This window comes from Homo sapiens, chromosome 2, assembly GCF_000001405.40.
Source record: "Homo sapiens chromosome 2, GRCh38.p14 Primary Assembly".
NCBI classification, from domain to species: domain Eukaryota; kingdom Metazoa; phylum Chordata; class Mammalia; order Primates; family Hominidae; genus Homo; species Homo sapiens.
Genome location: NC_000002.12, coordinates 91,738,038 through 91,750,369, shown reverse-complemented (window position 1 = coordinate 91,750,369; position 12,332 = coordinate 91,738,038). Strand labels below are relative to the sequence as shown.

Genomic DNA, 12,332 nt, shown 5'->3' with positions numbered 1-12,332 from the left:
GCAGCATCAAGGAAGAAAATCCTTTCACTTGTCTTAAGCAGGAGAATGACTTGCAGGACCTCACTCTCATCCCCTACTGTCATCCCAGTGGACGCTTATGCAAGTCCTGGCTCATTTATTGAAAGGGCTACTGTTTGGTGGTGCTCTGTTGCTTGAGCAAGCCTGGAAACCCACATAGTTAGAATGTGGGGCTACAAGAAGAAATGCTATTTTATTACAGCAGCTGAGGCAAAGGCAACTACAGACCTGGTGCCTCACTGCCCACTAACACTATTTACAAGAATTTCCAGGCCTGAGAAAAGGCAGCCGACAATTTTAAACTCTCTGGATTAAGTGAAAACTAGGACAGAACTAATAAAAATCTGAGTACACATTCGCAAATGAAATTTCAAATCAGGAAGTTGATGGTGTAGCACAGGCTAAGCGCAGGGCGGTGGGTGTGGAGTTAGAAGCAAATATTTCCTAATACAATGCAAGCTCAACCACTAACTGAACAATCAGCTCTGTCACTTCCTGTGTGGCGCTCTGATTTCTTCATTCATTAGATGGATATCATATTGGCCTCTACGAGGATTTGAGAGGTGGGAGCGGAGAAGGAGATGATATATGCAGAAGCACTTCGGTCTCTTAGGAGGAAAAGCGCCATTAAAATCCAAGGCATTATCACCATTACCGATGTGATTGTTGTTGTTCTTCGGCCGACTTACCCAAGTGGCCTTGGGACAGGATCTGGTGGTGCTGGGGGACTTTAACTACCCAGTTATCTGCTGGAAAAGCAATATAGCAGGCCACAGATCATCAAACAAGTTCTCAGAAGGGGTTGGGGGAAATCTTAGTACAAAAAATATAGGAAGTAAACAGCGTGGCTGCCCTTCACTTGATCCTTAGAAAACAATGAGGAATTAATTGCAGATTTAAAAGTAGAGAGTCCGTGGTTAAGGCAAGCACAGACTGACAGGAAAATAGTAAAGACAGTGGGCATTCAATTCAATAATTTCAGTTGTACAGTATTCAGCGAGCACCTACTCTATGCAAAGCACCATGCTAGGCATTGCAGGGCGGAAAAGGCTAAGAAACAAAATAATTTCAAGATAATTAGGTGGAGCGGGCGGGCGGGCTGCTGAGGACGCGCCGCCTGTGCCTCCCTCCCTGCGTGCCTCGCCCCGGGCCGCCTGGGGCTGCCGCGGTGCGCGGGTGCCGGGCCCTGCCTTGCCGGCCATGGGGGAAGGGGGCACCATGGGGCGCCGCCGGCCCTTCCCCGGGGCGCCGCCGCGGCGCTGGTGGCGGCGGCAGCAGCAGCAGCAGCGGCAGCGGCAGCGGTGGTGGCCGGGCCGCGGCGGCGGCGGCGAGGGTGCGGGGCGCGCTGCCATGGGCCTTGGCCGGGCTGCAGGCAAGAAGATGTCCAAGCCCCGCGCGCTGGAGGCGGCGGCGGCGGCGGCAGCGACGGCCCCGGGCCTGGAGATGGTGGAGCGGAGGGGCCCGGGGAGGCCCCGCACCGATGGGGAGAGCGTATTTACCGGGCAGTCAAAGATCTATTCCTACATGAGCCCGAACAAATGCTCTGGAATGCGTTTCCCCCTTCAAGAAGAGAACTCGGTTACACATCACGAAGTCAAATGCCAGGGGAAACCATTAGCCGGAATCTACAGGAAACGAGAAGAGAAAAGAAATACTGGGAACGCAGTACAGAGCGCCATGAAGTCCAAGAAACAGAAGATCAAAGACGCCAGGAGAGGTCCCCTGGTACCTTTTCCAAACCAAAAATCTGAAGCAGCAGAACCTCCAAAAACTCCACCCTCATCTTGTGATTCCACCAATGCAGCCATCGCCAAGCAAGCCCTGAAAAAGCCCATCAAGGGCAAACAGGCCCCCCGAAAAAAAGCTCAAGGAAAAACACAACAGAATCACAAACTTACGGATTTCTACCCTGTCCGAAGGAGATCCAGGAAGAGCAAAGCCGAGCTGCAGTCTGAAGAAAGGAAAAGAATAGATGAATTGATTGAAAGTGGGAAGGAAGAAGGAATGAAGATTGACCTCATCGATGGCAAAGGCAGGGGTGTGATTGCCACCAAGCATTTCTCCCGGGGTGCCTTTGTGGTGGAATACCACGGGGACCTCATCGAGATCACCGACGCCAAGAAACGGGAGGCTCTGTATGCACAGGACCCTTCCACGGGCTGCTACATGTACTATTTTCAGTATCTGAGCAAAACCTACTGCGTGGATGCAACTAGAGAGACAAATCGCCCAGGAAGACCGATCAATCACAGCAAATGTGGGAACTGCCAAACCAAACTGCACGACATCGACGGCGTACCTCACCTCATCCTCATCGCCTCCCAAGACATCGCGGCTGGGGAGGAGCTCCTGTATGACTATGGGGACCGCAGCAAGGCTTCCATTGAAGCCCACCCGTGGCTGAAGCATTAACCGGTGGGCCCCGCGCCCTCCCCGCCCCACTTTCCCTTCTTCAAAGGACAAAGTGCCCTCAAAGGGAATTGAATTTTTTTTTTACACACTTAATCTTAGCGGATTACTTCAGATGTTTTTAAAAAGTATATTAAGATGCCTTTTCACTGTAGTATTTAAATATCTGTTACAGGTTTCCAAGGTGGACTTGAACAGATGGCCTTATATTACCGAAACTTTTATATTCTAGTTGTTTTTGTACTTTTTTTTGCATACAAGCCGAACGTTTGTGCTTCCCGTGCATGCAGTCAAAGACTCAGCACAGGTTTTAGAGGAAATAGTCAAACATGAACTAGGAAGCTAGGTGAGTCTCCTTTCTCCAGTGGAAGAGCCGGGACCTTCCCCCTGCACCCCTGACATCCAGGGACGGGGTGTGAGGAAGACGCTGCCTCCCAATGGCCTGGACGGGATGTTTCCAAGCTCTTGTTCTCCTAACGTCTCGACAGGCGCTCACTGAAGTGTATGAATATTTTTTAAAAAGGTTTTTGCAGTAAGCTAGTCTTCCTCTCTGCTTTCTCGAAAGCTTACTGAGCCCTGGGCCCCAAGCACGGGCCGGGCATAGATTTCCTCTTCCACACGCTGCCGCTTTTCTGGGCACCTTGAAGCATCAGGGCGCGAAATCAAACTAGATGTGGGCAGGGAGAGTGTTGCTTACCTGCCCTGCTGGGGCAGGGTTTCCTGAAACTGGGTTAATTCTTTATAGAAATGTGAACACTGAATTTATTTTAAAAAATAATAATAATAATTAAAAATAATTTTAAAAAAACACAGAAAACAACTTTCATGTATATAGGTCTTGAAGTGAGTGAAGTGGCTGCTTTTTTTTTGCTTTTCGTAGAAGAGATTGAGAATGGTACTCTAACCAAAAATAAAGTTTTGTAGTGGGACCAGAAATTACTTACCTGACATCCACCTGGGGGTGGGTCCCCCTCATCCTGCTGGGGTTGAAAGTTCCAGACCTGCTGTCGAGGCCTTGTGTTTGTCAGATACCCAGTGTCCTCCTGCAAGGACGCAACTGAGCTGAGGTGTGAGCCTAGGAGCCCAGGACCCCTGACCCCAGCCGCTGCTGCCAGCCTCAGAAAGGCACCCAGGTGTGCAGGGGAGCACACAGGGCCCGGCAGCCCCCAGGAATCAAGGATAGGGCTAAGGTTTTCACCTTAACTGTGAAGGCGGGAGGAATAGGTGGCTGCTTCCTCCCGCCCTTCACAGAACTGATTCTCATGCACTGTCCCTTCAGTCCAGGGGGCCGGGGCTCAGGAGCCATGACCTGGTGTCTCCTGCCCACCCTGGTCCCAGGTAAATGTGAATGGAGACAGGCATGAGAGCCTGTCCTCATCTTTGATTTCCCCCCCAACCCCACCTCGGGCCTTACGACGGTGTTACCTAAGAAAGTCTTCCCTCCCACACCCACCCCCCGCTAGCCTGGTCAGTGGTCAGCAAATTGGAAGAGGATCCGATGGGAGTGTAAATGTGAGACACAATGTCTTGATTATACCTGTTTGTGGTTTAGCTTTGTATTTAAACAAGGAAATAAACTTGAAAATTATTTGTCATCATAAAAATGAAACAAATTAAAATATTTATTGCCAGGGGAAAAAAAGATAATTAGGTATGTGTGTGCATGGTTTTTAACAAAATAATAATAAGCATAAAAGAAAATAATCCAGTTGATGAGAAAAGAAGAAAAGACTGACAAGAGGACCCCTATGGCTACTTTTTACTTCACACTTGAAGAGAAATATTTTAAATATTAAAACATATAAATAAAAAGTAAAGGAAATTATTACAAGGCTCAAAGAAAGAATAGTTTTAGCAGCTGAGAAAAGGTTAAAGGTTAGTCTTAAAACTTTACCACTTGTTTAAAATCAGATCATCATAGGTTTTTATTCTCTTTACTAAAAACAGAACTATGGGAGAATGAGATTAATAAGAATATCTTGATACTGTGAATGTTTAAACACAACACAAGCAAACACCGGTAGTTTCTGGAATCCCTAGCAATGGCCACTACCCACCCACACAAGGCCAGTCTACATGAAGGCTGGGAGCCCACTGAGGCAGCCTCAGAAATCAGCTAAGCTTAAAAGGCTATGCTCCAGGAAGATGTGAGAGGTTCCATCCACTGACTTTTAGAAACACAATTTCAACAGGGAAAAGCCATTTAGGGAAATGCCAGCCTTTATACCTGAAAAACCCAGATGGCAAATCCTTAATAATGCACTTTATGATTTAAAATCCTCCCATAAAAGACCAGCTCTCCTTAAGTGAGATTTCAAGGCAGGCATCTATCTACCCACTTCTTCTGGGACTTGATTCCCACACAAGAGCAAACAGCTTTCTGGGATTCCTCGTTTCCCTCCAAGCTGAGCTGGCACTGCTTTTGTATGCACAGGGCTGCTAGCAATCAGATTGGCCTATGACCAGCCCTAGAGTGCCCTGATCCTGGACACCCCTGATCCTGATCCTCTGCTATGGGGAGACTGCTAAATGTAGGCAGGTGGGCTACAACAGGGAAGATAGGCTCAACGGTTTTTCCCCCAGCTCTGCATTAACCTCGAGGGTTCCATCTGCCTCCCCTCACCCTCACCACACTATTCTCTCTCCCCCTACCTCTCCTAAATGATGCTGAGCCAAAGGAGAAGAAAGCAGCACATCTCTCTACTTACCGAGGGGGAGGACTATGATGGGGATGTTCTTGGGATGCTTGCTCTCCTTATCAATGAATTCCCCCGTCACGGTTTTCTCTCGCTCAGTCACCCGGCAGTTGTATTTCCCGCTATCTTCCTGGCGGAGGTGGTAGATCTTCAGCACAAAGACACTGTCGCTCTCTTTGGCCACGTTAAGCTGTCCCCTGGCTTCCCGGTGAGCAAATTCGCTGTTGAGGACAGGCACAGCGTTAGGGCCCATGGTGGCGATGAGCGAGCTGTTGAAGGCCCAGGAGACAGCAAAGTAACGGTCGGGAACATTCTGAGCCTCCGGGATGCATCTGAACTCCACCGGCTCGCCCACCATGTGCAGCCGCTTCTCTGTTTCCAGCCGAACAGTGAATTCTTTCTCTGAGAGAACAATTAAGAAAAGAGACACATCCTGGGGGAATGAGGGCCCCAGCCAACTAAACCACATTAGCACATTCCCACTATCCTTCCTCTTCTTTACAATGCTAATTTTGGGGAGGACCACAGCACTTGGCTTGAGAGTAAAATCCAACTCAGACCCAGGTTATCTGAGGTCCAGAGAAACGCCTGAATATCACAGACAGAATTCAAAACTACTTCAGCCCAGACGGTCTAAGCAAACTGTTACCCCGGTTAAGACCAATGGGGCTCAGTCTGAAGCTTTAGATGTCTTGCATGAGACCCCCAGGTCAGTGAGAAGCTACTAATATCACTCAAATGGTGGATTACAAATATCTAGCCTTGATATATGCACCCAGAACTCTATTTAAGCAACAGCATTATAAACATTTTCAGCAGATATTGTAAGACTTACCCCACTGAGGTCTGTGGGAAAAAATTACAGAGTGGCCTAGGTGCTGGCCCAATCCTAACAAATGCTCAAAGATTAAAATTCCCTCTCTACCCCCCACCATGTGAATACTAGAAATAAGATGTAGCTATGACAAAACCCTAACAGAATTACATAGAAAAAATAAAAACTAATGTCTGTTCACTAGTTTACCACCTGTCAGATCAAATCTTTAGGCAGATTTCAATGGAAGTAGGTACTTTCCCACTGAAGTACCTACTAAGTACTTACTTTAGTAGGAAAGTACCTACTTTAGTGGGAAAGTACCTACTAAGTACTCACGCCTGGTTAAACCTTAGTAGGTACTTTCCCACTTAGTAAGTACTTAGTAGGTACTTTAGTAGGAAAGTACCTACTTCTGCTGAAAAAGCCAGACAGCCTCTGAAATGATTACTAAACCCAAGCAGCCTCCAAAGAGCTAGGTGTTTTTTAAATTTTTATTTATTTACTTATTTATTGTGACAGGGTCTCGCTCTGTTGCCCAGGCTGGAGTGTAGTGGCATGATCATGGCTCACTGCAGCCTCGACTTCCCAGGCTCCAGCCATCCTCCCACCTCAGCCTCCAGAGTAGCCACCATATCTGGCAAATTTTTGTTGAGTTGGGTGTTTAACCAGGCGTGAGGGGGTGACCAAAGAGGGGCTCATCACCACTAACAGCATCACCACAACCTGTGTACCAGTGTACAGTGGCTATTAATCTCATTAGACAGCTATCGTATCTCATAGGCACCCAGGGCAGAAGTCAGGGGGAAGAAAACGGAGTTAAGGGTTAGAGACTGGAGCTGTGACCACTGCCCAGTTCTAGCTCTGTTCCTCTAAAAAGAACACTGAGGTGGAAAAAATCTCATGGCAGAGATGTTTGAATTCCATGTAGACTCATTAGCTCTGACCTTGCCTGCCTTCCCTAGACTGGCATGTCTAGTCTTTCCCACTATCTTCAAGATCTTGCCCATTCATCCCGTCCTAGGCACTCTTCAAGCAGACGAGGTTTCTGTTTCCCTGAGAAACCATAAGAGTCACGCATGAGCAGCATCCACATTCCTCTTTTCCAGCCCCAGCTCAGCTTTACCCCTCCTGCTCCTCAGGCTCTCCAGCCCCTCCCCCCGATATAGGCCAGTGTCCTGCTGCAAACACCCCTTCTTTCCAGTGACCTAACTACTTCCTCTAGCAGCCAAACTTCCTGACAGAGAAAACCACGTCATCAACTCTAGGGCCTCCCCTCCAATGAAGTAGCTGCCGTCACAGCTTCCAGCTCCCAAGAGACCAGTCTTAAGAGGCATGGATTGAAGGAAGCACATTTCACTCTGCCACCATCTGCCTGGATGAACACACTCATATGGCACAGTCCCCGTGTTATCTGCTGGATATTATCTCTCACGTCAACCCAATTAGTCATTTATAACCCGACATCAATGACAGAAAAGCACTCCTTCCACATAAACACCACTGGAGCTGTGCAAGGGGTACCCTAGACTTCAGACCTTTCCATTGCTCCAGGTTAGCCTGGCTGTAACTCTGGCTTTCTTCTTTCAGTGGCCAAAGACTCTGCTCATCTCAGGGGAGTCCTCCCATGCCTTGGTGACACCTTCATGTTCCCAGGTTGAAGACACAAGATTTACCCACATCACCCCTGTTTCTGCCCTTGGTTATGCCCAGTCAATTACATCTCTAGAAACTGACCTGTGCTTTTTCCAATACCCCTTCCACTTCATCTCACTGAAATTAGGCTTCACTGACTTAGCAAATGTCAAGAATGATCCACCCTACCCCTACCCCTACCCCCATCCTAACCAAAGGCTTTCCTCAAGCAGGTTGAGGCCTCTGAGCCTGCTCTATGATCCCTTCTCTCCTGCTCTGCTTCTTGCTGGCCTGCCCACTCTGTTCCACTCTCTCACCTGCTTCCCTGGTCACCTCTTACTGCTGCTGTTCTCCCAGGCCCTTTCCCATTTTTACCCCATGGGCTCTTCCAGGGCCCTGATCACTCTCAGGCTCAGTCTCTGAGCCCCAGACCCCTATGTCTGAGGACCCACTGGGTGTTTCGCATACTGAGCATCTCTATCAGAGTCTATCTGATGGATGGGCTCTTTCACTAGAATTTACAAAAACAAAAGGCAGCCAATGCTGCCACAAATGCAAAAGATCCTGCATGTCCTCATTATTGTTCCTTCCCTCCCACAGTTCAAGGAACCCCCAGAGCCCCAGCCCCAGCCCCTGGGCTTCTAGACAGTTGGACCCCTCCTTCCATTGTGCTCTTTATTCTTTCGCCTCTGGCACCCACTGACCTAGCCTTGGCTCTTATTAGCTCTTTTCTACCTGGTCTCTTGGCTTCAGACTCAACGGATTTAATCAACCTCCAGGTGGCCTCCATAGGTTTTTCTTTCTGAAACCCTGATCTGATTGTCTTACTCCCTGCTTAAAAATCTCTACCTCCTCTCCAACTGTCTGCAGCAGAGGTCTTCAAACTTTATTAAGAAGAGGACAAAGGAAGGGGACTTTTTATTCATATAAAATCTTCTGCTGCCCAACATAGTTGAAGCAAGGGGGGACCACACAGGCCCTTGCATGCCTTCTTTCTGCACTCCTGAGTATGCACACGTGCACATGAACACCAACACACACCCATGTGTAACCTCCTAGGTACCTTTGAGGGGCTTCCAGGGTTCCAAGAACAGCTTGAAAACTCTTGGCCCACAGAGTCAAGCCCCGGCTCTATATCACTGCATTTGGGGCTTCGGGCTCCCTTTCCTCTCATCACACACATCTGGAACTCAACATCTGGAACTAGTCATACTTGACTCCTTTCTGCTTGCCAAACATATCAAACACTTTTGCACTTTTATGCTTCTTCTCCTGCTGACTCCTCAAGCTTCCAGACTCAGTTCAAGTCAAGAAACTTATTGGTGTTCCTGGATTTGTCTTATCAACCATCCCATTCAGAGAAAACTATGGTTGCAAGAACACTTCCTATTTCCGGTATTCCCAGAGCACTCTATACAAATGCTATCAATGCACTTAGCACATTTTACTTGTCCATTGGTTCTCAGGTCTGCCTAAGTGCAGGGACCAGTGCTAGTCATCTTTGAAGCCCTTAATGCCTATCACCATCACACCTTCAATGCTGTGGAGACTGGCTACATGTTTACTGAAATAAACTGAGAAGGGTAGAGTTGGAGATGCAACTGCTGAACCTAAACAGCACAGGAATGCAGAGTGAAGTCATCAACTTTTTTTTCACTTAGTTTTCCTTTTGATGGCTTAGTCTAGATACATTTTCAGGGTAAATTCAAAAAGTTCTATTTCCAAATTGGTAAGATTAAAATAAAGAAGATTAACTGATGCAACCTAATTTAAAAGCATTAAGACTCAAAATTTGGCCCAAATTTTTGAAGTTGATCTTAAAACTATCCAGGAAGGGAAAGGATAAATATAAAATAAAGCCCCTTGGATAGATTTTTTAATGCTGAAAAATCCAGAAGCTGCTAAATGTCCTACAGAGCAGATAAAGTGCTCCCTATCCCTACCAACCCCTATGGTAAAAGATTTCACATCCATTAGATGACTTATTAAAGTGATGTCCAGAGAATTGCTTCTGCCCTAGAAGATTTGCTTGAAAAAAATGTAGATAGCAGAAGAATCACCTGGGAAGCGTGCCAGAAATCCAGCTTCCCAGGTCCCATCCCAGGAGCCTCCAACTGAAGACTTCTGGGACGAAGCCCCAAAATGTGTACTGTTAGCTGAGTCTGAGGCATTACTCTAGAATGGCAGAGAAAGTATGCAAAGACCCAGACAACTGACTGCAGCAAATGGGACATGGAGCCCAAGAGACAGGTCCTGAAGAAGGACCCCACCTGTACTGCAACTCACCAGCTTATTTCCCACAAAGCCACACTCACTCACCAGAACCACCACAGTCCTCACTGGAAGTGAGCATCCGCACAAGGAAAGGCTTTCTGGCCACTCATCACCAACTTAGTGATGGCACAACAACCACGCTCCAACCAAAGCTGGGGGAACTGAAGGCCCATGTGAGAACCTGCCCTCAGCCCAGCAGAGGCAGCCAGCAACAGCTGTCAGCTCTGGCCTGGAGCCTGGTGGGCTCATGAGACTGGGGAGTAGAGTCTGGGGCCACGGGAGATACCAAGAGAAGCCAGGGAAGGTTTCAGCTGGCTGTGCCACCATCATTTTGCCTCAAGACAAATGATGGTGTCTAAAGACATCATGCAACCTCCTCAGGACCCCTTCCAGGCCTTCACTTAAGAAAACATCTACAGTGGAACTTGGTACTCTCAGACTGGCCTCATCAACATGCCCTATGACTCCTCTTGAGCCCTAACATAAAGTAATCTGCATTCAGCATCCTCACCTGCAAAATAGGTACCACCTACTCACCTCACAGAACGTCTGGGGGATGGTGAAGTAATATGTGATAAAGCATTTTGGAAATTACAAAATATCACCAAAGACTATTATTAGATAAAAAATAATAATTTAAGCCAAAATTTCTCTAGTCCATAATGTTAGACCTTGGATGGAAGTCTCATTATCTCAAATGGCTTCTGCAAATGAAACCAGATGGGTACCTGAGGAAGGCAACATCATTAAACGGGGCAGCAACTGTGGCTAATGGGAATGAAAGCCCAGAGTTTTAAGATACAAATGGTTTCTCAGAAATCTCTGAATTTTTAAAATGAGTTTCTAATTCAAAAAAGTGTAAACGCCACGTAGGTGGAAGAAAGCATGTCTCTAAGCAGGATTCAGTCTGTGTGGCACCTGCCTGTGACTCAGGTCTTAGGATACCTATGTCCCGCACATCCCTCAGCTCCCTCCGGCCGCACACAAGACCGGCTTTAACTTCACATGAAAACCTGCTGCCCTGGTAGAGGTGCCCAAAGAAGGAGTCTCCACATTCTCCCAGTATCTGACAGCTTTCACCACCAAGTAAAGGACAGGACAAGAGGCTCAGAGGGACTGACCAGTTGGCTGGACGTTGACCACTGCTCCCTCGGAACGCTTTCGGGTCATAGCATACCACGACCCATCCGGATCCTGGATCCACTCAGCGGCCTCGCAGTAGAACTCGCCCTGGTCAGAAGGCTGCAGGTGGAAGATGGTGAGGCAGAAGGTGGTCCTCCCCAGCTTGTCCAGCCGCACCTCCCCCAGGCTCTGCCTCTGGGCATATTCGCTGCCAGAGTGAAGCATGAAATCTCGGCTCAGGGAGATGACCTCCACGGGCTTCTCGCCAACTTTCTGCCAGAGCCAGGCCACAGACAGGTGGCTGTGCTGAACGGTCTCCGAGGCCACCTCACAAGTGAGCTCCAGTGGGTCCTGCTCCACTCTGTGCAGAGTCTGGGGCATGGCAGTGGTCTGCAGGGAGTCTGGGATCACTGCAACACAGAAATGTCCTGAGACTGCAGTCACAAAGCCACAGAATCTGAGACTCCCGGGGCTAAGCTCCCATTCCACGCAGGCGTCACCGCACTGCGTCCCTAACAGTCATCCTTGAACCATCGATTCAAGGACACAGACAGCCCCAAATGCACATAAACAGAAAGTTTTCTGTTCGGATTTGGAAATGCATTATTTTGGTGCTTACACTTACCTGTCTCGTATTTTAATAACACTTGGATAAAACATGGGGTGTATTTCATATTACATAATAAATGAACTCCCTGAAAATATTGTCTTTAAACAATTGTCTTATAGGTCAAATAACATTTGTTGTTGATTCTGGCACTGCTTTGAGATACTTTAACTTCACTTCTGACTGGTCCTCTAATGGAAATGCCTCCTGGAACTTTTAGTTTTACATTTCTATACAACATCCTTTCTTTCCTTCCCACATCCCCATCCTGTAACTTACTTCAGCAATGCAGCCCTAGGAAGATGATTTTTTTAAAAAACCATTTTTGGTAGAAACAATAATCATCATACCCTATTTTTAGTGGGTTTAATTTTCACATAATTCATCAATCAAAGGGGTTCTCACTGGAAGGAAGCCACAGTCTGGAGAGATTCAAGCAAGAGAAGAGATTTTCTCTGTGATCCCTTGGTCAGAATCATACCCTGATCCTTGCTTGCACCTTTCTGGAGATTAAATAGCACCACCTCTCTGTCTGATGAGAGTACCCTAGTCACAACTAGTATGTGTTTTCTCCCTGTTCTCACCCAAGGATTGGGTCTTACAGGTCTCCTGCTGGGAACGGCCAAGTGCGGTGGCTCACACCTATAATCCTAACACTTTGGGAGGCTGAGGGAGGCGGATCACCTGAGGTCGGGAGATCGAGACCAGCCTGACCAACATGGAGAAACCCCGTCTCTACTAAAAATACAAAATTAGC

The 12,332-nt window shown here is 47.7% G+C and overlaps 2 pseudogenes, besides 2 other annotated features; one reads left to right on the top strand and one right to left on the bottom strand.

Annotated features, from left to right (window-relative positions):
* IGSF3P2 (IGSF3 pseudogene 2) overlaps positions 1-12,332 on the bottom strand; it is a 30,792-nt pseudogene that overhangs the window by 17,143 nt on the left and 1,317 nt on the right.
* Positions 1,383-2,627, top strand: KMT5AP2 (KMT5A pseudogene 2; annotated as a pseudogene).
* Positions 5,128-5,725: an enhancer, noted in NCBI's record as "H3K27ac hESC enhancer chr2:91932671-91933268 (GRCh37/hg19 assembly coordinates)". NCBI's record gives its function as "activates a minimal SCP1, AML or CMV promoter by ChIP-STARR-seq in primed H9 embryonic stem cells {active_cell/tissue: H9 hESC(primed)}" and the evidence as "EXISTENCE:reporter gene assay evidence [ECO:0000049][PMID:30033119]".
* Positions 11,188-11,689: an enhancer, noted in NCBI's record as "H3K4me1 hESC enhancer chr2:91926707-91927208 (GRCh37/hg19 assembly coordinates)". NCBI's record gives its function as "activates a minimal SCP1, AML or CMV promoter by ChIP-STARR-seq in naive H9 embryonic stem cells {active_cell/tissue: H9 hESC(naive)}" and the evidence as "EXISTENCE:reporter gene assay evidence [ECO:0000049][PMID:30033119]".